Raw genomic sequence first — 27,400 nt, 5'->3', positions numbered from 1 at the left:
GGAATTATATAAGGTATAAAACTGTGACAGAATCTTTTCAAGAACTCATTATTACTCTTAAACCTTATCTCATTTTCACTGTTTTTCAGAAGGTAAGGGATAAATAATGTTTGTCCTTTTTATAGTTAGAGAAACTGAGGCAGAAAGCCATTAATGGCTGTATAGACATACTGCCAAAAGATCCAGTGAGTTCAGTTTAAAACTCAATCAATCATCCAGATGTTTCCTATACACTGCCAAACATCTGGATTCACTGAATGCCTGACTAAATCGGCCTAAAGATTTGGTGATAGGGAGGAAGAATCAAGTTAACTTTCTAAGTTCACATGTAATTGAGTGGTGAATCTGAGAATGTGATGTTATTTTCCTAAGCCCCTTGCTCGGTGCTGCATCTATTAAAACTACAATAGCATGCTCCAACATACATATTTATAAATACAGAAATACTTCTCCTCTCTCTCTCTCTCTCTCTCTCTCTCTCTCTCTCTCTGCATGTATGCCCCATGTGCGTCCATCCAGATGAACTATAGCTAGGCCATTTATGAGCACATCCCAAAATAGCTTTTCACTTTGTTTCCTGGGAATTCTCAGCTGCCTCCTTGCAGGTTATGGTTACTGTTGATAGCGCTGGAAAGAATATACCCACTAAGGGAATAAAGTAACATTATTTTCATATTGATAGTCCCATGGTATAACCTTGAGGGGATGGGTTCAGAGCCAGGCTCAGGCCCCTTTCCTGGGAAGGCCTACAGGTGTGGAATGTTCTCCCCTCCTCCTTCCAAGGCAGAGTTCATGTGTAACATTCCCACGATCAGAAATGAGGACCTTTTTATTTCCTTTTCAGTTTCTAATTTGTGTGAGGACTTATTTTCTTGTGTTAGGAAAAGAATTGAACTCTTTTATGTCCTCAGTGTCAGTCCTGGAATTTGCTAGGCCATGTTGCTTTAAAACAACAACAACTAAGTTTTGTTTTTGTTAGTATCATTCTGCTCCAGGCTCCTGCATGGAGAGAAGACTCCACAATTACCAAAAACGATCACAACACATCGTTACTCATATAATACTATGGGCCATTTATCCCCTAACCTAGTTTTGTTGTTAACTTTTTCTCTCTCTTTAAGAGTAGTTATGTAGTTAGTGCTAATTTAGTAGTCCCTAAACTGCTACAGGACTTATTGTTCCCAAGGAAAAATCTATCCATTTATTGTTTCCCCATTTCAGTTCAGGTTCAAACGAAATACCAGAAATTGTTTTCCTGCCCGTTGTAAACAGTTGAAGCCAGAGTAGTCAATACCTGCCCACTTGGTGTCAGAGCTTTTCATTCAAAGTTAGATAAAGTCTCATCTGTTTGGGATCGTTGAAATGTCCTGCTGAATGGTGGGGGAGTGGACGAGATGGCCTCTTAAGATTCCTTCCAGCCGTGTGATTCCATGATTTGTGGCTCAAGGTCAGGCTTTAACCCAGCACCCTCTTGTGAACAAGTCTTGTGACTTTATTCTCTGCTCTGCCACTCTTTTTAAAACACCCTGTTCCCAGGTCACCCCTTTCCACTTTGTAACCTCTCATCTTTTCAAAGGTTGTTCCCTTCCCACCAGTCTTCCAGCCTGGGCAGATGGAACTTAAACTTGCCCTTCCCCCCACCCAATTCTTCTGTTCTGCCTTGTTCTCATTAGGCTATGAAAACATTAAACTATAGAAACAGTTTTGCATTTATCACCCCTAAGTTTCCCTCCTCCAGGGCCAGATAGGTGACCTGTTTTCGAATCATGTTAACCATGTGATTCCATATGAATGATAATTCTGCCATATGTTTACATAGCACAATTCAGTTTGCAAAGCTCTTTCCTATCCATTAGATAACGTGATCTTTATAACCACTCAGAGAGGAAAGCAAGGCAGGCATTATTACTTACATTTCCCAGATGAAGAAACTGTGGGCATTAGAAGTCTACTGAGTTCCATACAGTAAGTGGTAGAGCTAGACCTAGAATCCAGAGCTACTGATTTCATTCTCTGTGCACTTTCCTTTACTTGTACCAAGACATGGCACACCTATTAGGAAGATCTATATAGAAAAGATGTGCAGAATACAAATAACAAAAACTCCTTAATTTGTGGTCTGATAATTTTCAAGTGCCAAATATGGTAATTTCTATGGCCAAAGCTCTAAAATCAGCAGCAATGAAAGATTAAGCACATTGTTTACAAAATCTCAGTTGGTGAGATTCTTGGAAAACTAACCACCACATTGTATGGAAACAGAGGAACTTTGTGGCATGAGTTTGAGTTATAAATAGCAGAAGAACTTTCTGTTAGTGAGCCCTACTTCATAGAATGATGTTAAATGGTCAAAGATAATTAAAAAATCTAGAACAGATGCTGAAATGTCTCCACTTCCATCCCCCTCTGTAAACACCAGAAAATTATTTTTAAGATGCCTGGCAGACTCTAGTGCAATGAAGAAACTAACTTTTGAAATAGAAAGTTAAAATTTTTTAATAAGTTAATTAGTAAAGCTGTTAAGTGCCAAAGGAGCACTCAGGACATTCCTTAGCATGTGATTTTAATAAAATGTTTGAAATGAATCTCAGACATGATGGAAAACACTCCAAGTAACTTGTTTTCATAGTCTTCTCACAATAACACCAGTGAGAGTTGTAAAACACTGGCCTAGTGCAGTGGTTGCTAGAAAAGCCAATATTGAGCTAAAATTTCTAAATAAAAGGAGAAACCTTTTGAAAGTCAACTTTAAATAAAAGACCTTCCCAAATGGAATTATGTCCCAGTGTCTGTCTTACTTGTTCACAAGTGACATGGCAGAACTCTAGTAATTGCCATTTATTTCCATACGGAGCCAGAATGTGTGTGTGTGTGTGTGTGTGGGTGTGTGTGTGTGTGTGTGTGTGTGTGTGGGTGTGTGAAGGACAGAGTACCTACAAGACATGTTAGCAAAAGCCAATGAATGACTTCTGAGTCACAAAAGGACAATGTGAGTTAGTCCTTAAATACCAGACTTAGACTCTGTGGAGTTAAACATTATTTCATGAAGTAAAAGGGAATTCTCTGATATATTCCAAAACGGATTTATCATTAAAAAATCTTCTGTCACTTTGCCTAATAGCCTGAAAAATAATCACAATGTCTGGTGGCTTTGGGGAGCATGTGTTTTTAATATCTTAATTACTATATACAGTTTAATAACACTGCACCAAGAAGAATTCCCAAGTATTTCATACTAAATTTCTTGAAAATGAACTATTTGCTATATTTAGAATACACAGGATTAAAGGTACTTAAATTAGGTCATGTATTTTAGTCCTTGCATATTAAATTAAATTACTCAAAAATGGAAGATGAGTCAGAAATGGTGAGCCAAAATGTTGTTGGTATTAGTGTTGTGGTCATCTTGATTGAGCAATGGAGGGAAATACATGAACTTTTCTGATTACATTATTGTATTCTTTCATAGGATATTTTTAACTGGACATGTTAGCAATGGAAAGACAAGTTCTACATATGAAAAGAGAATTCTGTCAAACAATATAGACTACCAGGTTTATGAAGTTTAGAAATACATTTCTAAATTTTCTATGAAATTCATAGGGTCTCCTATTGTATTTACATTTACCCACTGGCCAAATGCAGCATCGTTTTTTGTTTTTTGTTTTTTGTTTTTTGAGACGGAGTCTCACTCAGTCGCTCAGGCTGGAGTGCAGTGGCGTGATCTTGGCTCACTGCAACCTCCACCTCCCGGGTTCAAGCAATTCTCCTGCCTCAGCCTCCCGAGTAGCTGGGATTACAGGTACCCACCACTGCGCCCAGCTAATTTTTGTATTTTTAGTAGAGACAGGGTTTCACCATGTTGGCCAGGCTGGTCTCGAACTCCTAACCTCAGGTGATCCGCCTGCCTCGGCCTCCCAAAGTGCTGGGATTACAGGTGTGAGCCACCGTGCCTGGCTGATATTTTTTAATAAACAGTTACAAATGCTCATTCCCTAAAACGTTTGCAGTTACAAATATTTGCTATATGAGGTATATCAGTCTGTGTGTATGTATGTGTGTGTGTATTCAAATACTATTTCAGAAATTAACCCAGATATATTTATGAATATGTATCATGCTTCTAGACTGTAAACTCCCTAAGTGTGGAATCACACATTTAATTCTTTGTATCCCATGGCACCTAACACAATAGCATATACAAAGTAGACCCTCAATATATATATAATTAATTGACTGATCAGTCAATTCAAAGGACTTAACCTTTGCTGCCCTTATTTCTGAATTTAGATTTCATTTAAGGTACTTTTCGCATTCAATATTAACCAGTGTCTGTGCTAAAGGGCAGAATTATATAAGTGCAGGATCATAGGGTCTAACCCTTTGATTTTACAGAGGATGTTAAAGCCAGGAGAGGGAAATGACTTGTCCAAAGTCATACTACCAGTAAATGACAACACTGGGACTGGGAAATGAACAGGTTAATATTCTATAGTGCCATTTGCTCTGCTTCCAAAGGCTCTTGATGCAAACATGCTTGCAAATACACAGACACATTTTCTTATACAGTAAGTACTCCAAATCATGGCAGAAGCCCATAGTTATGAAGTTCATCTTTGGAACAAATGGCTGCACAGTAGGAATCATGAACTTGCTAATTATTTATCACTTATTTTGGATATTAACTAAGTTTGGGCCTAACAAGTATACCTTAGTGCCCAACTGCCTCATTCAACTCATTGGGCAGTTGTTGCACCGGGTGGGGAGGTCTCTGCTGGGATCACTGAACCAAAGGAAGGCAGAATCAGCAAGACCTGTTGCTCATGGCCTTTTACCCACTCACAGAGTCTGACTCAGGCTCCTGTTCTCATTCAGGGTCAGTCATCCTTTCAGTCTCATCCCCTGGATCTCAACTCCTCCACCTTCCTGGACATCTTATAATAATTTATCTCGTGCCTCCTTCCTCCTTCCAGAATGACAAAATTAGCATCATATTAGTCAGTGGGCTTATGTGCCAGATAGCTCAGTTGTTTAGGGCAGTGTATTCAGATTGTGTTCCATAGGGAATGTGGGAGAGGTGCTGTGGAGGTTGTTCTAAGTCCCCCATTCCTATTTTAACCAGAGCAGCTCCGTTTTTAAAAATCTTCTTCACATATTGGTCTTCTAAGTAAGATTTCACTTAAAGGGGTCCAACTGCAAAAATAACAGAAATCTTAGATGCCCTTAAAGCTAACATTAAAGGCTTAATCCCACGTGAGCCATTTCGTAATTTGAGTGGTCAATGAAGGTACTAAATATCTATAATACACAAGGAAGTCACAGCATGCCCTCCAGTCCCCATCAGCCACTTTCTAAAATGAACTGTGGGTCAGAATGGAGACCAAATGGGAGAATGTGAATGGCTTGGTGGTAACATTATTGAAGTGATAGCTAAAGGCCCATGCTCTAGTACTAGTGAACCAGAAGTGGCTTCTTTGAAGCTGATGACCAACATATATGAGTTTTCTTTGCCCATGTCATTAGGATTCTAACAAAATCCGATGAAAACAAAGTGCTGAGCTGAGCTCTTTTGTCTTGAACTAGCTTGTCTATATGGTGCAGTCTTGTGTTAATTGGCCCAAACAAATGTTTGGTCTTAGTCCTTTAATCCCATGGCTATTTGAGATCTAGTGTTCAACTGTAGATTTATTTGACACATAGCAAAAAATGTTTCCAAATTCTGTATGGGCTCAGTGTTGGTATATAGTTAAGGTAAAATGGTAATAATGAGATTAATTCTTTACTCCTAACTATGTGCTTTCCTTAGATAGTGAGCACAGTGATTTTATGTAGCAACTGTTAAGTGGAGTGTCTCCAACAGAGTTCTAATTAATATCCAAAATAAAGATGACATTATTATTTATATGCACTGGATCTTATTGGATAATTTCTTAAGTATGGTCTTCTTTTCCTTGTTTAATAAGTTGATCTAGATATTTTTTTCATAGTCCCTATTTTGCTAAGTCATCACTTCTGAGAGTAATATCTGTTCTGTATTATGGGCAAGCAGCTGACGAAACCAAATAAAAGCTAAGAGAATTACTCTTCTGGTATGTCACAAAAATGAGGTCCAAGTTCAGGTTAGTTACATTCAAGGCCACTGAGGATTCTTATGGTTATTATCATGGTATCACTGTTATTAAACTTTGAAGCATCACAAAGAATTGGTGAAGAGCCAAAAGACTGAAGACTGGCACAATTGTTTACCATCACCTTCAATAAGGGATGGAAATTGGATTCTGGAAGCCACAAACCAGAAAGTCTGGTGTCACATCTTAATGAAATTCTAGATTAGATTCTTGGAGAGCATGAGCTCTTGGAAGCAACCATGGTGGTTACAAGTAGCCACTGTGGACTTACTCAGAACTAATCAGGCCATTTCCCCTTATATGTGCGTACATGCACATGCCTTATTGATCAGAGGAATGGCATAGACATGCTGGGTCTAGATTTCAGCAAGGTGTTTGACAGAGATTCCTATGATTTGTTTTAAAATAAGTAAGGAGAAACATTGGCTAACTGATCATCTACTTGGATAAATGTGTAGCTAATTAATTATCATATATGAAATGTATCAATATCAGCCCAGAGTGAGGCCTTTGGTTATTAACTTTGTGCTTAGCCCCTTATTGCCTAAAGTTTTTGCTAGTGACTTAACTGAAGATAGAGAAGGCATACTTCTAATATTTAGTGACTGCATGATGCTAGGTGGGGGTTAGTGAATACATAGATAACACAATTGGGATGCAAAAATATCTCAGTAGGCTGCAATGACAGGAGAAAACTAGCAGAGTAATATCCCCATGGGGATAAATGTGAAGTATTACATGTAGATTCACAAACATGAGTGCCTAAGCATGATAGGGGAAATCCAACTTAGCACACATGTTAGTTTTTAGTTATGATGGAAACAGCTATGAAACCTTCACTGACCCAAAACAATATCCCCCAAATATTGTGATAATTTGGCAACTCTCTTGATGTTGTTGCCATTTTTGGTGGGAAGAGAGGGATACGTATTTACATGTATGTTGAGGTGGGAGAGGGAGAGACATGGAAGTGACTAGAAAAGTACTCTCCACCGCTTGCAGTGAGCCGAGATCGCGCCACTGCACTCCAGCCTGGGCGACAGAGCGAGACTCTGTCTCAAAAAAAAAAGAAAAAAAGAAAAAAGAAAAATACTCTCCACCCTGTTTAAAGGTTAAAAAGGACTGTTTTGGGATTGTGATGTTCACTGCTCCACATGAGTTTTTGTTACACCAATACTACCTGTTTTAGTTGTAAAGCATCACTGGTATGTGACTGAGAGTCTCAGTGAGACATCTGAGAGCCAAAACACTGGATTATTTAGTTTGGGGGAAAGAACAAAGGCTTTAGAGCCAAATAGATCTATTTTTAATTCTCAGATTTGTCATTTTGTAGTAACTTGGCTTTAGGGCAAATTACTTAACTTTCCTATACTCATGCTTCCTAATCTGTGAAATGGGTATACTATCATCTATCTTGAAAAGTTAAGACAAATATTAGGGATAATATATGTGGTAGGCACTCAATACATTCTAGATACTGTTTTTCTTCATATTATTACAATATGAAGAGTTAGCATAAGGGCAAGTCAAGAGTGACCTTTTAAGTGACTTGAGTCTCTGTGCCTCAGTTTATCAATTTCTGAAATGGAGAGACTACAACGTTTCCAGTTTGGAGTGTTGTTTAAATGATTTAAAAATTCTAAATATAATAATCTAAATTCTAAAGATTCTTGGAAAAATATATCTAGCCAACCTTCAACAGATTTTTGAACTATTTAAAGATTAGTTTGGCTCAAAGTGACTGAATGGAAAATGAAGACGATTTTTTATATGTGTGTGTGTGTGTGTGTGTGTGTGTGTGTGGGTGGGTGTGTGGGTGTGTTTAAATCAAGTTCTTCAGATTTTCCCAAGTTTGAACTCTGCCCTGAAGTAGAGGCTCTATAAATAGGCAGGCTGCCCTTGGAGTACAGCTTAGAGATTTTACCACATGATCCAGAAGTCCCATTTTAATCTTCAGCCCCACCAGGACCTTTCATGGAAGGATGGTATCAAGTGGAGAGACTTCAGAGCTATAAAGATCAGGGCAAGTTAATCTGCATTCCTTTTGCATTTTGCTCTCTGGTTGAAGATGGTGAGAGGTTCCTATATTTAAAACCCGGTTGACATGATATCCTTATTGGCCGATGTCTCACAGGAGGTATTTAGAATGATTTTGAGCAGCATATAATATGTTTGTGAGTGTGTGTGTATTTCACATGCCAACAGAGCAGAAAGAATTCACAGGGCTTGTGGCTACTGAGCTTTCTTGAGACACCATCACTCTCAGCTGTTGGGGTGATGTCACAGTTACAAGTGACACTGCCTAGGCCCAAATTCCCAAAGCTCTTTTTTGCATTGCAGAGCCTAGGGCAGACCTACACCATGGGCTCTACCTTCAAAGAACTATGGAATTTGTTAGCCACAGACTGGGACCAGTGACCACTTGTTGTCAGGCAAAAGGAAAGCTGCCCCCTGCTGCCTGAGCCTTTGTGCCTGCCTGGGATACCATGGAAAATGGGGAAGGAATCCAGACTCATTAATGAGCTAATACAAAAGATTAAGCCAAGCTAGAGGCAGTTTGTTATAGCTGCATATGGATGCTCGAAGGCAGTCAGAGCTGAAAGATCTCCAGACCAGAACCCAGTGGTGCTGCCGCCTTTGTTTGCCAGACACAAATATAGGATAAGGGTATCCCCATGGGGAGCAATTTTCGTATTGCCAATTTCTTTTTTCAGTTATGTCATTCCCCGAGCTGTTGTGTGACAAATTGATTGATCAGTAATTGCAATCTGATAACCCATGGTCCAAATTATTGTTAAAACTGCAGGTTTCATTATAATATACTGAGATGGAACTCAGATCTGAGCTTTTACTTGGTCTAATGGTCTTTGTTCTTGTTTGTTGTTCTTGGAAGTCACTTAAAGCATGATTACTTCTATGGCTCCTTTTCAAAATGAAATTCACAAGGCAAAATAAAAAGTAAAATACACACACACACACACACACACACACATATATATATATCCTCGTCATTTATTAGGAGTTATTTATTGAATGCCCATTTTTTATGTAGTGCTGGATTTGATGGGGTCTGTTGATAAGGACATAGAGAATCCCCCCCACCTACACACTCATCACATATGCATATATCATCACCATTTGCATTCATTTATTCAATATTGAGCAAGCAGCTCTCTGTGCCAAGCACTGAGCATAGGGGCTGCAGACAAAGGTACAGAGATAACTTAAGCACTTTCAATGAGGGTGATGAAAACATGCCTACCTTACTATACTCCAAGGCACAGTGTGTCATAAAAGAAATATAAACCAAGTACTATGCTAGCCTGGAGAAGAGAAGGATTAATTCTTACCGAGGGAATTAGACAAGACTTTAAAAATAGGAGGTAGCCTTTAAGCCAGCCTTTGAAAGATGAGGAGAATTTTGACAGATCGAGATTGGAAGGAAGGATCTTCCTGGCAGAGGAATATGGCATGAGCAGTGGCTCAAAGACATGAAAGTACATCGATAGCATTATGTGGCTGGGGAGCTGAGGCCACAAGCCAGATTGGAAGAGGACGTGGACAGTGAAAGATGAGATGGAAAAGGTGGTAAAAAATTTGGGAGGGCCATGAATAGCATACTAAGGAATCTGAGCTTTACTCTGTGGCAGTGCAGAGCCCATGAAGGGCTTGAAGCATGAGAGTGACATGGTCAGATCAGTTAACATCAGTAATGTTAACTCTGCCAGCAGCGTGAAGGATGTTTTAAAGATCAGAAATTGGAGGCAAGGAGTCCAGTTAAGTGATAGCATTTACAAGGCAAAGAAGGAAAGTTTGTTATTCAAATTCATTACCCTTCCTTTCCACTGCCTGATGGGAAAATGGAAGGGGTATCCAATCTTTTGGCTTCCCTGGGCTATATTGGAAGAGGAAGAATTGTCTTGGGCCACACATAAAATACACTAACACTAACGATAACTGATGAGCTACAAATAAAAATTGCCAAAAAAAAAAAAAAAACCTCATAGTATTTTAAGAAAGTTCACAAATTTGCATTGGGCTTCATTCACTGCTGTCCTGAGCCGTATGCAGCCCGTGGGCTGCGGGTTGGACAAGCTTGGTTTAGGAGATGAGAACCGCTTTGTCCCTAAAGTTGACTTAATCATCTTTTGGCCATTAGCCAGGACATAGGAGAGGCTGGAGCAGGCAGTGGTTTGGGTCTCCGCAGAAGGTAGTAGGGTGCGGCCCTCCCACAGTAGACCAGTAGCTTCTCCAGGTCCCACAGTAGAAAATGAAAAGAAATTTCTAGTACCTGCAGAGATTTGTCCCTTATTGAACCTTTAGTAGAAGTTCTCACAATGAGGTATTTAGATTCCCTGATGAATGTGTTAACTATTACTTTTAATCAATTTGTTACACACTTTTTTTTAGTCAGAATTCCAATTAAATGTAGCTCCTTGGCTGTTGAATGTTGAGTGCCATCCATTCACTGAAGTCTCAAAAATTACCAAAACTGTGAGAAAGATCGAGAGAGATTATAGTGTTTTTCTTCAGCTGCCACTGTGGGTGCTTAGATGTGTTGGAGAGACTACTGTGTTTCGTGACAGCCTCACAAAGAAGAGTGGGGGCCCCAGAGGGAAGCAGTGACTGTTCGCCTTCTCCATACCTTCTCAGAACACATTTTCCTGTTTGTTATCAACTCCTATGTCTTTCTAATTATGGCAGCTCCTTATAGCTGGTGCTGTTTCACTAGAACAGTCTCCAAGAACTTTACACATGTTATATATAAGACCTCGCTTGTTCATTTTACTCAAGCATGTGCTGACAAGGAGCTGACCTGACATTTCACCAAGACGCTCTGCCTTGTACTCGACAGTGCCTCTTCTCTCCACCTTAGCACCCCTGTGCCCTTGCTGGTCAGAGCAGATGCTGAGAAGACAGAGCGGATGTCTCGGTTAGGCTAACCTTGCCTGTCCCACTCACCACCGTATCTTCAGCTCTTTGAACAATGCCTGGTATAGAATAAGTGGCTGATAACTATTTATTGCATAAATAAGTAAAAAACTCTGTTCCTCTTTATCCTCAGTTTAGAGCTGTGTGGACAGGGTGAATATATTTTGCACATGGAAAAGATATGAATTTCAGGGAGAAAATGTAGTGGCAGGTACAGAGAGAAGGCAAGAAAGTAGGGGGATTCTTTTCGCCATCAAAAAAGTTACAAAATGTTACCTTGGGGTTTTGCTTTTCAAGTATGTACAGAATATTTTATTTCTTCAAGAAGTCATCTGGAATAGCCCTTCCTCTATTTTATTGAGAAATGCAGTGGAATAATACCACAGCTTCCCCATAAGTCTTCATTACATCAGTTCAGAAGGTCCTCAACTTGCGAAGAACCTGGAAAATCCATGAACTCTCTTCCTGTTCAGTCGCCCTTTTCTGACCTTCACTTGGGGGCTATGCTGTGGCTATCATACAGTGGAATTATTTTAGACAGAGCCCCCAGGCTCTGGCCTACTCCCCACCTACTCTGCCTATTCAGTTGCTATAAAATATAGTATTGAGCAAAGATGGGAAACCTACTTTGTCTGTCAAAGCCTGAGTAATAGCAACTTTCATTTTCTTGGCTGCCTCCTTTCAACTCCAAGCTCAGCTTGTTGAGGCCTGAAGAGCTGAGCCAAAACAGCAATTCATGTGCGTATTTCTATTTAGACTCCAGTCTCCCTGGGTAGTGTAGTCCTGTGGTGATTCATGCCTCGAGTATAGATAGCTAGATATTGGGAAACTTCCTTATTTGCAGGATATAAAAGTGAATGAAGTGATCAAAATCTTTGGCATACCTCCCCCTATTGCATAGCTTTCTCGTGCTTTCCCTAAGAGAATCATTTCTGTAAGGAAGGACAGATGGGTCTGTGATCCTCTCTACTTTCAGTATATTCCCTGGACCTACTATGTCCTACTCACTTCTCTGCTGACATCACTAGGCCTGAACTCTCTTCTATGTAGCCGATTACCAGTGCTTTCAGGTCATTCTTTGTACAATTCTGTCTAAGATCCTTTTCTGTCCCCATGTCGTTGCCCTAGTCCAGACCTGCTTTGCTTCACCATCAGTCCTGTGCTGGGCACAGGAACTAGAAAAATCAATGAGATAGTCACTGCCCTTGGCTTCTAGGGACTCACAATCTTTTTTTTTTTTTTTTTGTCTTTGTTTTCTTATAGTACTATAGTCTTCAACTTCTATTTATATTTTGCTTTATATATTTTCTTTTGTTGATCCAGAAACAATTTTTTTTGTGTAACTTTTTTCTCTGCCACAAAAAGACATGTTGCCTTCCTTTTATAAGTCCCATATTTCCCTGACTCCCACTTATGCCATGCCACCTTCTCTGAGGGAGAGGTACTTCTCTCCCCACAATTCCTCACTTTTTTTTCTTCCTATCCACCCACTCTCATCTTCCACATAATTTAAGAATTCCTCTTATAGGTTGATTTATTTTCTATGGTCTTAGTGACTCTGTCTTAAAGGGAAAGTAATAGAAGAAATGACCTGGAGAAAGACAGTGATCAAGACCAAGTAGCATTTATCTGGGACTCGCTGAGTGTTAGTCCTTGTCTGGATGTCTCACAACCTCTAATAAAGAACACCATGTTTGCTATGTGCTCCCTTCTAGATGAAAAAAAAACAGTCCATAATCTATAAATGCTTTTGGCTAGCAATGATGAACAGCAGCAGCTTTTATTTTTTTTCAAAGCGAAAGCACCAGAAGTTTGGAAAGGAATTGCAAGTTATGTTGTAATGCAACTGATCTCCTTCTTCCTGAGAAAGTTGGTTTCTCGCCAGAGTGTTCAATTCAGGCCCACGCAATCTGGGTGTATTTATAGAGGGTCCAACAAGGAAGAGAACATGATAAGCTTTCCTCCCCAGTATGGTAGACAACGGCAAACAATCGCCAGGTGAATGCTATGGGGAGCCAAATGCCATTTAGGTATGTGACAGCAGACATCTGCTAGACTGAGAGGCCCGCCTGCCCCTCAAAGCAGTTGAATCCGGTCCGAGAAGTTAGAAATATTATTCTGGATGATGGCAAGATCTCAGAGAGTTTTGGGGGCCCTGTCTGTGTGGGGGACATCTAGGAGATGAGACCCACTCTAAAGCTGCCTAATTCTTAACAACATAAAAATGTTAATAAGAAAATAAGAATCCAGCTAGGTGTGGTGGCTCACACCTGTAATCCCAGCATTTTAGGAGGCCAAGGCGGGTGGATCACTTGAGGTCAGAAGTTCGAGACCAGCTTGGGCAACATGGCAAAACCTCATCTCTACTAAAAATACAGAAATTTGCTGGGCATGGTGGCAGGCGCCTATAATCCCAGCTACCTGGGAGGCTGAGGCACGAGAATCACTTGAACCTGGGAGGCGGAGGTTGCAGTGAGCCAAGATCGTGCCACTGCACTCCAGCCTGGGTGACAAATTGAGACTCTGTCTCAAAAAACAAAAAAAAAGAGAGAAGAAAGAATCCCTGCAGCATTTAAGTGTTTTAACACTTTTGAGACCCATAAATATAAATGTTTTATTTACATTATCACATTTATTTCACATATATATTTTAAAAATTAATGCATATATATGTATGTGGAATAAAGTCTGTAAGAATTATATCAAAACATTAGCAGTATTACAGTAATTTTCATTTCCTTTTTATATCTCTCTGCACTCTGCCCAAATGCTTTTTAAAATTATTTTTTAAATCAGAAAAAACAATAAATCTATAGGCTCATACATGTAAATGTTTTATTTACATTATCACATTTTTCACCACTATCCTCTGATTAATAATATCCACTGTTAATTATAGTTAGCTACCATTAATATTCTCTTTTACAGATGAGGAAAATGGCAGTCAGATTGTGAGTAACTAAAAGGTTAAACTTGGACTTGAACCCACGTCCTATTACTCTAAAATTTATGATTTCTTTTTTATTCTGTTGAAGAAATGAGAGCCATTAGCACAGTCTCATTGTCAAGGAGGTCACTTGAAGTAGCCAGAAACTAGCAGCTCCACCTCTAACAATTTCTCCCAAGGAAAGAACATGACAATCTACAAAGATGTATGTATAAGGATATTTCAGTAGCATTGTTTATGAATAACAAAAAAATAAGGCCGGGCTCGGTGGCTCACGTCTGTAATCCCAGCACTTTGGGAGGCTGAGGCGGGCAGATCACGAGGTCAGGAGTTCGAGACCAGCCTGGCCAACATAGCGAAACCCCGTCTCTACTAAAAATACAAAAATTAGCTGGGCATGGTGGTGGGCACCTGTAATCCCAGCTACTCGGGAGGTTGAGGCACAAGAATCGCTTGAAACCGGAAGGCAGAGGTTGCACTGAGCCAAGATCGCGCCACTGCACTCCAGCCTGGGCGAAAGAGCAAAACCCCGTCTCAAAAAAAAAAAAAACATAAAAACAAAAGCAATCCAAATGTCCATCAACAGCAGATTTATTATGGGAACTATGCTGTTTCCATACAATGGAGTAATCTGTAGACATTTAAAAATATTTTTTAAAACACAGTTGTGCATAGAAAGATACCTATCATATATTGCTAAGTAAAAAACAACGCAGACTATGAGACAGTAGTAAAGTACAATCCAATTTTTTAAAAAATTAATGTGTATATATGTATGTGGAATAAAGTCTGTAAGAATTATATCAAAACATTAGTAGTATTACAGTAATTTTCATTTCTTTTTTTATACCTCTCTGTACTCTGCCCAAATACTTTTTAAAAATTATTTTTTTAAATCAGAAAAAATAAATCAATTTTCACTTAAATAAACTTTTTGAAATAGATAAAGACAGATGTAAGACTGAAACCACGCTGGACCAAAGCAAAGCTCTTCCTCCTTGGTCCCCAACTGAGCTGTATTCATCTCTACTGGCTGTCTCAGAAGCAGCCTAGCTTCTGTGAGGAGGCAACAGCAGTATCACTTGGTCTGGTGGCCTGGTGACCTCCTGACCAGTGCATACTGACCCAGTGTTCCAAGCCTTATAGCCTAGAAGTCATCCCCTTAATTCTGAGGGCAGCACCAAGGACCTTTTAGAGACATGGTCCCAGGGACAGCCCCCATGATCTACACCATCCAGGATTCTAGCTGACAGGCACACTCAGAGATGTGTGCACAGTGAGAGGTAGCCCCCATGCATCTGAACTTCTCAGAATAACCCAGTATGATTCTGTCATTCACAAATGGGCCCAAACATTTTAGAATCTATTTCTATTTTTGGCCAGTCCAACTCCTTAGGGAAATAAATTCCTTAGTATTTGATATGCAAAGTAGGGCCTCCCTTTATCTAACCCCAAACCATCTCTTTCAAGTTCAAGGGGATACCCCTCAAACTCCAGTATTCTAGAACTTAAATTGTGGTTACTCTACCTATCACATTGTATGCACTTCTTTTCTTTCTTTTTCTTTTTCTTTTCCTTTCTTTCTTTCTTTTTTTTTTTTTTTTTTTTTGAGACGTAGTTTCACTCTTGTTGCCCAGGCTGGAGTGCAATGGTGCGATCTCAGCTCACCGCAACCTCTGCCTCCTAGGTTCAAGCGATTCTCCTGCCTCAGCCTCCCGAGTAGCTGGGATTACAGGCATGCGCCACCACGCCCAGCTGATTTTTGTATTTTTAGTAGAGACGGGGTTTCTCCATGTTGGTCAGGTTGGTCTTGAACTCCCGACCTCAGGTGATCCGCCCACCTCAGCCTCCCAAAGTGCTGGGATTACAGGCATGAGCCACTGCGCCTGGCCTGTATGCATTTATTTTCTTTTCCCCTTCAGTCGTCATATTTTCAGACTCGAGAAGCTAGTGATTTTAGTTTGTCCCTATATAGCTTTGCTTTGTTCTCCATTCTTCATTGTTTTATTTCACCTTCTCTGGACATTTTCCTGTTCTATTTTGTCTTCTTTAATGTGCCACCAGCAGAACATAACCCCAAATATTCTGGGAATAAGGTACAGTAGCACATATATGGTAGTGCTAAAAACAGTTACCGCAGCTTGAAAGCAACTTCTTTCTTAGTGGGTTGCTAGGTGCAGACATTCACAAGTTCAGCTTTCAATGGGAGAAGAGTGATCATTAAAGAGCTGTGAATGCTGGTCTGTTTTTCCTTACCTTAGAGATGTATATGTGGCCTCCGTTTTACATTGTACTAGGATCTAATGGAACCCCAAACTAGGTTTGATTGTGGGGCAGGGTGGGTGGGGGTGCAGTGGGAAATCCCTCAAATCAGTGAAACAAACGCTGATTCCAAATGTAGCATGCAGGCTCTATAGAATAAGACAGCTCTAATCTCTCAAAGACCAAAGATAAGGCCATCTGACAGCTTTGCAACGTCAGAGACTTTCAGTCATTTCTTTACACACATGTAAAACCTTTAGACGTTCTTGAGAAAATAACCTTTATTTCAAAAAATAGCTTTGAAGTTTGAAAATCAAAGCAGGCCAGCTGTTTCTCAGCACAGAAAGAATTTTTCCTAAACTGCTAGAAAGCTAATAAGGATTTCAAAGGGCAGTGATCACTTACTCTAATGCCCACGGTCCAGGAAGCACCAGGCGTGGGACAAGCTGTTTACTGCAACTAACACATGAACTAGGGAGTGTGCCAGACCTTCCTCTGTGTTTGTCCATCTTTTCCTGTGTCCCAGTATCTAGTTTTTCTCCTTTTCTCTCTCACCATCCCCTGGCCTCTCTCTTTCTATTCTCTACCTTTTGTTTTCTTTTTCTAATCTCTCTGTCTCCTCTTTCCTGACGTTTTTTTTTTCTTTGAGACAGTCTTGCTCTGTCACCCAGGCTGGAGTGCAGTGGCACCATCTCGGCTCACTGCAAACTCTGCCTCCCGGGTTCAAGCAATTCTCCCACCTCAGCCTCTCGAGTAGCTGGGATTACAGGCGCGCGTCACCACACCTGGCTAATTTCTGTATTTTTAGTAGACACGGGGTTTCGCCATGTTGGCCAGGCTGGTCTCAAACTCCTGAACTCAAGTGATGCGCCTGCCTCGGCCTCCCAAAGTGCTGAGATTACAGGCGTGAGCCACCACACCTGGCCTGGACATCTTTTTTTTTAACCTCCTCATTCCCCAAACTTGGTATAGCATACACCTGGAATTTTTTTAAAATTTACTACACCTATTCAATGGAGTTTTCCTTTCCCTGTCCTTATTTTTCTTAAAGAAAACAAGGTGAATGTTTTCTATTTCTTCCACAAACACAAGCAAAAAAAAAAAGCTAAACTAAATCAAGCAGCTTCTTACTTGTGTGTGGCCCCAACTGATTTTTTTTCCTCTGTGGGTCAGTGGCCCTTGATAGAAAAAAAGGTCCCCACCCTTGCACTAAGGGGTCTTGCCAATTTAATTCTTCTTCAGAAAAGGGGATGAATAACAGTATGGACAATTAGTTACTGTGGGTGGGAGAAGGAATTTGGCTGGAGGCAATTTTCTTTGGAAAGCGATAGGACGGCACAAGAGGTTGAAATAGTTCTACGTGTGAAAAATAGAGGGTATGAAATAACTTGGAAAGTTCAGCTGAGAACAGGAGCATCTGGGGCTTATTCATGGTTTTTCAGAAGTTTTTGAAGCTTTTTTATTAGCTGGGTTGACCTCAGATTGAGGAGGAGATTTTTCAAATGTTAAACAGTTTTTTCTTTTGCATTCCTAAAGTCATATTGTGTTCAGCTTGTTAATATCTGCACAGGGGGCCTTCGGCAGAGGCTGCCAGAGCGGCGTGCTTTTGGGACATAGTTCCCTATAGCTGGTATTTCCCTTTCTTGTTGAGGATTTGCATGTGTCTCTTTCATCCACGCATACAGCAGATTCCTCCACAAATAATTGCATTTGACATCACAGTTGTTAGAGAAAATGCAGGGGAGGGGGAAAAGCCTCCCTTTCCTCCACACTGAGACAGCTGGAGGGAGGAAGCAGGTTAGACAGGGAAATACATAAACATACCTGGAATGTAGCAGCAGGTAATTCTGTCTGTGTTAGTCATGATAATAACTTGCATGTTGGAATATCAATAGTGTAGATTCCAAGATGTCTAGGATTTAGAAAGGAACAAAGAAACCACCACATATCAACACCTAGCATCTCACTGATTTACTGTGCCTAAGACAGGAAATATTGGCAAACATGTTTAGTTAGAATCAATGGAGTATGTTCCAAGGTGCCTTCCCCAAATATTTTTTACAGAAGAACTTTAGGCAATTTATTTCCAGCTTCTAGTGGCAGGGGCAAGTGCACCCTGCTGGGAAACTGAAATCTGGCTCATGATAGACTGGCAGGAGTTGGGGGCCGGTGTCAGATTCCATTTGCACTCCCAGTAGAAGTTACTGGAACCCTCAGAAAGGCACACTCTCCAAAAAGGAGTGTTTGTTCAGGGCATGACAGTATTGAGAACAGCAAAAAATAATCTATCCACTAACACTGTGACCAGCAGTAACTTTCTATGTTAGAAATTAACCAGTACTGCCTAAACAGAAGCCCTCATTCTTAATGGTCTGCAAAATGTTCCGTGGCTAAAACTTTTGGAGGTAAGTCAGTGATTTGATTTTTTTTTTTCCTATTAACTGCCAGGCCTACAAAGTTTTCATGCAAGCAAAATAATTTAAACAAATTTCCCAAAATTTGACATTTAAAAATGTTTGGAGCTGTTCTGACACAGACATTCTGTGTTCTGTATTTGGTTTATGGACTATGCCAGGCTCCTTGATTAACAGGTAGAGGACATACCCACAGTTCAATAGATCAACACATAGTATTTGAGTTCTTACTCTAAATGTTTATTGTTTATTCAGTCACTGAGTGTCAGGTACTTGGGTAGGCTCTGGGAGAGACACAAAGATGAATCAGACACAGTACCACCCTCAAAAAGCCTTTGGCCTCATAGAAGAGACAGATACAGACACAAATAATTACAATACAAGGCAGAATGTGATTGAGATTTTAAGACAAGTCCAAACAAAATGTTTTGTGAGCACAGATGAAATGATTAGATTCACCTGCAGGAATTGGGGAAGAATTTATGGAAGAAATTACATATGAGATGGTTCCTGGAAGATAATCAGAATTTCAACAGAGGGGGGATCACTCAAGGCTAAGAGAACAGCGTGGACAAAGCACAGAGGTGTGAAACTGTGTGGCATATTTAGAGAATGTTGATTAGCGAGATGTGTGCGGTGAATTCTGGGAGATGAGGTTGGGATAATGAAGTGGAAGTATACAGTGGGCAGTTATAAATTTGAATTAGGAGCCTGAGGGAAAAGTCTAGACAACAGAATTTTTACTTAAAACAAGCTTGTCCAACCCACGGCCCACGGGACTCATGTGTCCCAGGACAGCTTTGAATGCGGCCCAACATAAATTTGTAAACTTTCTTAAAACATTATGAGATTTCTTTGCGATTTTTTTCTTTTTTTTTTTTTTTAGCTCATCAGCTATTGTTAGTGTTAGTGTATTTTATGTGTGGCCCAAGACAATTCTTCTTCCAGTGTGGCCCAGGGAAGCCAAAAGATTGTACACCCCTGATTTAAAAGTCTAAAAAGTATCATTCCCTGTGAACCACATGCCTTGAGGAACAATATTAGAACTCAGCATCTGTTCTTTGGGGATCCACAACTAAATTTGAGGCAAGGCATTCATATACATCTACATTGGAAAACAGAACGACCTACGTATTGTATGATGCAGTGTACATGGGCACCAGCCAAGAGTGGATGCAGGAGAGCACAATACATTATTGGTAACTTGTCATTTTTGAGGCCAACCTGGAGTTGGTCCAAGTTGCTTGGCCCCCGCTCCAACTCATGTGTCACTCCCTTCCTAGACAAATACTGACACAAACCACAAACAGACTTCATTCATCAGCACTAGTGTTTGGGAAGGAAGGGGACAGAGGAGAAAAGACTGGCAGGCGAGGGAACAAGCAATTCATTTTTAGGCTTGAGAATAAGAAAATTAACTGGTCATAAATTCCAGGTAATCGGTTTTTCTCTTGTTTTATCATGAATAAAGGACGTGTTCACATTTTGAAAGTAACACCTCATAGTACAGAATGGAATAAGCAGGCAAGCCAAATTCATTCTTTGCTTTTGTAAAGTGTGAGAAAGGGAAGTTTTTCTGACCCATACATAGATTCCCTAAAGGACGAAAACCCTTCTCATTATGAACACATAGGTACCTGACACTTTGTGCTGCATTGAAAATAGATTTAATTAAAATATTTAGTAATGACTCATTTTGAGGGCCAGGTATTTACACATCATGATTTTGCCTCTAAGAATTTCATAGATTTAAAAGATAATGTGACCAGGCACGGTGGCTCACACCTGTAATCCCAGCAGTCTGGGAGGCTGAGGCGGGAGGATCAGTTGAGCCCAGGAGTTTGGGACCAGCCTGGGCAACATACCGAAACCCTGTCTCTACCAAAAATAAGAAACTTAGCCAGGCTTGGTGGCATGCATCTGTGTTCCCAGCTACTCGAGAGGCTGAAGTGGGAAGATCGCTTCAGCCAAGGAGGTCAAGGCTGCAGTGAGCCGTGATCAAGCCACTGCACTCTAGCCTGGGTGACAGAGAGAAACCTATCTCTAAAAAAATTTTATTTTAACAAATAAATAATACAAAAGAGAATCTTTGGTGAATTAATGTTGTCCCCAATAGAATTTTCTTCTGGACAACATTATGCAAGTCCCCATGAATGACTTTATAGGAGAAGTCCTGGAAAAGAGTCTAATTTCCCACAAGTGAACTTCCTAGCTCTCCCTTTGAATCTGGTTGGCTAAGGCATCTGCTGCCTTTTTTAAAATTATTTTTTATTTTTTATTTTTTTTTTTGAGATGGAGTCTCACTCTGTTGCCCAGGCTGGAGTGCAGTGGCACGATCTTGGCTCACTGCAACCTCCACCTTCCGGGTTCAAGCGATTTCCGGCTAATTTTTGTATTTTTAGTAGAGACAGGGTTTCACCATGTTGGCCAGGCTGGTACCAAACTCCTGACCTGAAGTGATCCGCCTGCCTCAGCCTCCCAAAGTTCTAGGATTACAGGCGTGAGCCACCACGCCGCACATCTGCTGCCTTTTAAAGCATCATTCTTCCCACTTGATTTTCATCACCCTATACTACAAGGACCAGTGCACCTGTCTTGTATTGGAAAGGAAATAAATGTCAAAGTGAGAACAAAATAAGGACAATTGGCTCATTCCAAGTTTGCGTGGGACTGGAGAACAATTGCTTTTCCCAGCGTGTTGGGCAGGGGTGGTGGGAAGGCAGCTGCATGGGGAAGAAGTGTTAAATTGTGGCTTGTGTTCATATCCATTGCAGCTATCATCCCTTTAAATCACCCCCAAATAATGCTAAGTTCTTATTTAGAAGTAAGTTTTTCAGAGAGCCTGCCATCTGAATAGTGAGGGGAGATCTGCTAGTGAGAAGCCATGCAAATCACCCTCCCCTACCACAAAACAAGATCAGTGCAACAGCAGAGGTTTGGGGCTCCAAATGATTCCATTTTGAATAAGATGTGATGCCAAGGTTGCAATGACTTTTAGGTGTGAAAGATACTGTGGCTATTTATTTATTTATTTACTTTGAGACAGAGTCTCGCTCTGTTGCCCAGGCTGGAGTGCAGTGGCGTGATCTTGGCTCACTGCAACCTCTGCCTCCTGGGTTCAAGCGATTCTCCTGCCTCAGTCTCCCGAATACCTGGGACTACATGTGCATGCCACCATGTCCAGCTAATTTTTGTATTTTTAGTAGAGACAGGGTTTCGCCATGTTGGCCAGGCTGGTCTCGAACTCCTGACCTCAGGTGATCCACCTGCCTTGGCCTCCCAAAGCGTTGGGATTACAGGTGTGAGCCATTGTGCCTAGCCCCTGTGGCACTTCTTAAAGGAGAGTTTGCCCTGATCTCCTTGGCCAAAGTTCACATCTGGTAATCGCATCTGTTGACACTGGCTTCCCTTGTCCTTTCAGCTATGTACAATATTGGCTCTCTCGCATCCTGTCTTAGACTGTTCTATAGTGTTGCTATGTGCTATTAAATAGCAATCGCATTTCACCGAGTGGAGAATGCATGTGGAAATCCTTTGGGAGAAGTGTGCTGTAGAAATGTTGGATTGACAATGTTTTTTTTCTTTTGTGAACCAGGAAGTGTAAGTGTAAGAAACAGATCTAAACACTGTTCGGAATAATTGTTAGTGTGTACGGCAGAGTAAGCAATGACCATATATGCAAGCCCAGGTATTCCAGGGCTCAACAGGGCCCATTAGAGATAGGGAAATGAAAACAGAATGTTTTTTAAAAGTAATTTAAGTGAGTGGGCTTATAGTTCAGAATAACATATAAAGAATTTTGGAGTTTTCTGGAAAGTAGACAGCCTCTATTTGAATGGGCCTTTGCAATTTATGAAGTGTTTTTTTTTTTTTTATGTACACACACTGAATTCCCATAACCATGTGAGATAGGTATAACTCTTATCCTGATTTCACAGCATAGGAAACTAAGGATTTGTGAGGTTCAGGGATCTGCATAAGGTCTCACTTCTGGCAAGTAGAAGAAACAAAATAGATGGGAATCCAGGTTTTCTGACCTTAAATCCTTTGTCTGTTCAGCACACCATAACTAGATGAGTGTGTTGGTTGTGGTTTGATGAATGGAGTGTGAGTCTGGCATACTTTCTTAGGTATATTTTAAACACTGAATGACTAGAATTCCTGGAGATTCTGGAAAGCTCAGTTGTTTTTTGACACCTGAAGGTTAGGACCAAAATTTCAAAATGTTAAACTGTTTTTTAAAATACAGTTTAACATTTCTAAAATAGACTTCCCTACTTTGTCACATGATTGCTTTCTACTGTAGATGGAGGTGCTTTAAGTTGTCACTCTTTTAAACTGCTACTGGCCTTGGCTGTGTCCCAGAGACCTCCAGGCCTCACAGCATAACTCAAATAAGTGCTCTCCTTCTGGTCCATTTTCACTTTCTTGTCATTTTCGTGTTGTTGGATAAAAGTATTTTGCATAGGTAAAAGAGTTAGTATACCTTAGAAATGACTAATTTCTACAGAGCAAGGAGTTTACTCATTGGATAGGATCCTCTCATAGAGATTTATTATTATTAAATATTGGCTGTGGGATGAAAAAGAGAGATTTCAGAAGAGCAGGAATTTCATTTTAAAAAGTGTCAACTTGAACTTCATGGAGTTAATGTGTTTCCTGGCCGACGGCATGATTATAGGTGGTTGAATGCTAGGACAGGGGAGGAGTCTGGTAAGGTACTGCTGGCTGAAAGATAGCTAGCTTTCTACTGGGTTTTTACTCCAAGGGCAGGTATTTTAATCCAAGCTTGAGTTCCTCACTTGGCACACAGACTAGCATAATCTCTCCATCTTGCAAAGACATTTTTGGTTACTTTATTGAGGTATAATTTACATCTCATAAAATTTACCTATTGTAAATGTACAATGCAAAATGTTTTCCTGAATTTATACAATTGTGCAACCATCACCCCAACCCAATTTGGAACATTTCCATCACCCCAACAAGTTGCCCCATAGGCCTGTTTTCCGTCACTTCTCATTCCCACCCCAGCCCCAGGCAACCACTAATCTACTTTCTGTCCTTATAGATTTGCCTTTTCTGAATATTTCATGTAAATGGAATTCTACAAGATGTAATCTTTTGTGTCAGGCTTCTTTCATTTAGCATATTGTTTTTCAGGTTAATCTGTGCTGTAGCATGTGTCTGTACTTTGTTCTTTTTTGTTGCTGAGTAGCATTCCATTGTACAGGTATACATTTTGTTAAGAATATTCATTCACCAGTTGATGGACATTTGGATTGTTTTCTGATTTGGAATGTATGAATAATGCCGCTGTGAACATACACATACAAATCTTTGTGTAGATGTAATATTTGCACTTCTTTGAGGTAGATACCTAAGAGTGTAATGGCTTGGTCATATAATAAATATATGTTTAACTTTTTCAGAAACTGCTAAACTATTTTTGCAAAATGGCTGTACCATTTTACATTCCCATTAACAATGCATGAGGGTTCTTTTTATCCATATCCTATTCTACATATGGTATTGTCATTCGTTGATTATAGACTTTCTGGTGGGTGTGTAGTGGTATCTCATTGTGGTTTTAATTTGCATTTCCCTAGCAAGTGATGATATTAAGTATCTTTTCATAAGCCTATTATCCACTGGTACATATTCTTTCATGAAATATCTATTCAAATAGTTTTTAATGGATATTTTATAGTTTCAATGGAGAGAAAAAAGTGGAAAGAATATGACTATGCCAGGAGATTTTTTGCATTCTCCCCTCCTAAGTATTCATCAGTCTTTGTTTATTTTTGTAGTTGGCTTTGGGAGTTTTGTTTGTACTGTTTTGAGCAAGTAAAGGGCTGACATGGTCCATAGCAATTCATTGAACTAAACAGAATTTCTGTATGGAGTAGGAATAGAGTTTCTCTCCTCTAGAGCAGAGGTAAAGTTACCTTAAACTGCTTTGGGTGAGATATTACAAAGTGCTTTCATATGTATTATCTCATTGACTCTCTGTAGTTGTTTCATGAGGTACATGCTTTTATGATCTGCTCTTTACAGATGAGACTGATTGGATAAGTGACTTATACCAGGATCATCAGTTGGTAAATTGGTAGAGCCGACTCTTGACCCCAGGTCTCCAAATCCTCTACTCTTTCCACTATAGCAGGCAATCACACTTAAGGTCCACTTTATTTTCATGTATCAGAACTCTGGCAAAGCCCAGACCAGCACCTTCAGGATATCACATGTGGGAATGGCTGCTGGGTAAACTTTGAGGAAGTGTTTCCTCCCATACCTGAGTAAATGGCTTTGCCCATTTTCCCTTGGCCCAGATGTCTGGATCTCTGTGTTATGAGCAAACTGATTGTAATCTGGAAACAATGAGGACTCAGAACATCTGTTGAGAGAAGGAAATCTAATAGATGAGATGGCATATTCTGATTGGAGATTATTTTAGGTACAAATCAGTTTACATAAAACCAACTAAATAATGTTTAATTGACAAAATGCTAAGGCATAGGTCAAAATATTGTTTTAAAATTATTAAACATAGAAATGAGAATACTAATATATTTATTACTGGAGAAATGACATTAAAATATATTATATTCAGTGCTCCCTAAGGTTTTAAGAAAGTTTTATTGGTGTGGGGAGTGTGTGAGTAACAGTTCTGTATCACTCAGGGGCACATTTTAAAGCTTTTTATCTGTTTGGCCTCATAAATCATTGAACATGCATGATAATTTCAGTATTTAATATGCATATGAAAATTCACATACTGCCTCACATACTCAAATACAGCATGCGTGCACACACACAGACACACACACACAGAGACATATACACATCCTTTGTTAGATGGTATGCTTTGGTTGAGTTGAAAATATGGTTATTATTACTGGGGCATATAAGAGAAATGTAAAGCACAGTCCCTTCCCCTGTAAAGCTTACAAGTTATGGAGCACTGCATGTTCACACAGAAAGAACAATTAGAAAATAGTATAAGGCAGAACCTAAGCAACTGCTAATTTGGGCACAAAAACAGTAAGAATTACGAAAAGGAAGAGATCACTGGAAGCTACGTGCTGTGGCCAAAGCAACTAGCATAGTGTTGGACTATCTATCTATTTAGCTATCCATTCATCCATCATCATCTATCTTAAACTTTTAAAATTACATATGTTCATTGGAGAAATTTAGAAATTATATATAAGTAAAAATAAGTTAATCTACCCCTAATCCTACTACACAGAGATAACCACTCTTTGAGCACATATGTTGTGTTGCTTTTAAAGTAACAAGTGTTGGTGGGGTATGCTGGCTCACACCTGTAATCCCAGCACATTGGGAGACCGAGGCAGAAGGATCACATTAGGTCAGGAGTTTGAGACCAACCTGGCCAACATGGCGAAACCCCGTTTTTACTAAAAATACAAAAACTAGCCAGACATGGTAGTACACATCTATAATCCTAGCTACTTGGGAGGCTGAGACATGAGAATCAGTTGAACCCAGGAGTCAGAGGTTGCAGTGAGCTGAGATTGCACCACTGCATTCCAGCCTGGGCAACAGAGGGAGACACTGTCTCAAAAAAATTTTTTAAAAAATTTTTAAAGTGGTAAATGTTAACTGTTTTAAAAATAACCCAAAATTCCTGTATCCTGAAAAAAATCATTATCACATACTCAAATACAGCATGCATGCACACACACACATTCATTCATTCTGGCAGTATGTCCTAAACTGTGTTCCACAGAACTTTTGTTGGTTTGAGTTTGTTTTTTTTTTAATACGTGCTCCTTCAGCAAGCACATGAAAAATGCTCATCATCATTGAACAATTGGTAAATGTAAGTTAAAACCACAATGAGTTATCACGTCATACCCAATTAGAATGGCTACTATAAAAAAAAACAACAACAGAAAATAACAAGTGTTGGGGAGGATGTGGAGAAATTAGAACCCTTGTGCACTGTTGGTGGGAAAGTAAAATGGTGTAGCTGCTATGAAAAACAGTATGGTGGTTCCTCAAAAAATTAAAAATAGAATTATCATATGATCCAGCAATCCCACTTCTGGGTGTATTTAATATTCAAAACAATTGAGAGCAAGGTCTGCAAGAGATATTTGAACACTCATGTTCATAGCAGCATTATTCATAATAGCCAAAAGTTATTGGCATAATAGCAGCCCAAGTGTTTATCAACAGATGAATGGATAAGAAAAAATTTGGTATATACATACAATGGAATATTATTCAGCCTTAAAAAGAAGGGAATCCTGTCACATTCTACAACATGGATGAACCTTAAAGACATCATGCTAAGTTAAATAAGCACCACAAAAGGACAAATATTGTTTGACTTCACTTATATAAGATATCTAGAGTAGTCAAACTCATAGAAATAGGAAGCAGAGTTGGTGGTTGCCAGGGACTATGGGGAGAAGGAAATAGGCAGTTGTTTAACAGGTACAGAGTTTTAATTTTGCAAGATGAAAATGTTCTGGAGATTGGTTGTACAGTAATGCAAATATATTTAACACTACTGAACTGTACACTGAAAAATGGTTAATATGGTATATTTTTGTGTGTTTTACTACAAGTAATGTTTTAAAAAATGTGTTCCATGTGCTCAAGTAAGGAAACAGTGGACCAAACAAAATTAATGTAGTTTGTTTATAGCAAGACTTCTCAGAACCTTTAATATACTAATGTGT

General features: G+C 39.7%; 1 protein-coding gene across 4 annotated transcripts in view, besides 1 other annotated feature; it reads left to right on the top strand.

Annotated features, from left to right (window-relative positions):
* Positions 1–27,400, top strand: part of GPC3 (glypican 3) — a 449,850-nt gene that overhangs the window by 327,206 nt on the left and 95,244 nt on the right. The window lies entirely within an intron of this gene.
* Positions 8,272–8,963: an enhancer, noted in NCBI's record as "OCT4-NANOG hESC enhancer chrX:132783454-132784145 (GRCh37/hg19 assembly coordinates)". NCBI's record gives its function as "activates a minimal SCP1, AML or CMV promoter by ChIP-STARR-seq in naive and primed H9 embryonic stem cells {active_cell/tissue: H9 hESC(naive and primed)}" and the evidence as "EXISTENCE:reporter gene assay evidence [ECO:0000049][PMID:30033119]".

The sequence above is a fragment of the Homo sapiens genome, chromosome X, assembly GCF_000001405.40.
Source record: "Homo sapiens chromosome X, GRCh38.p14 Primary Assembly".
In the NCBI taxonomy this organism is placed as follows: Eukaryota; Metazoa; Chordata; class Mammalia; order Primates; family Hominidae; genus Homo; species Homo sapiens.
Note: the sequence above shows the minus strand (reverse complement) of the source record. Positions and strands in the feature narration are given on the sequence as shown.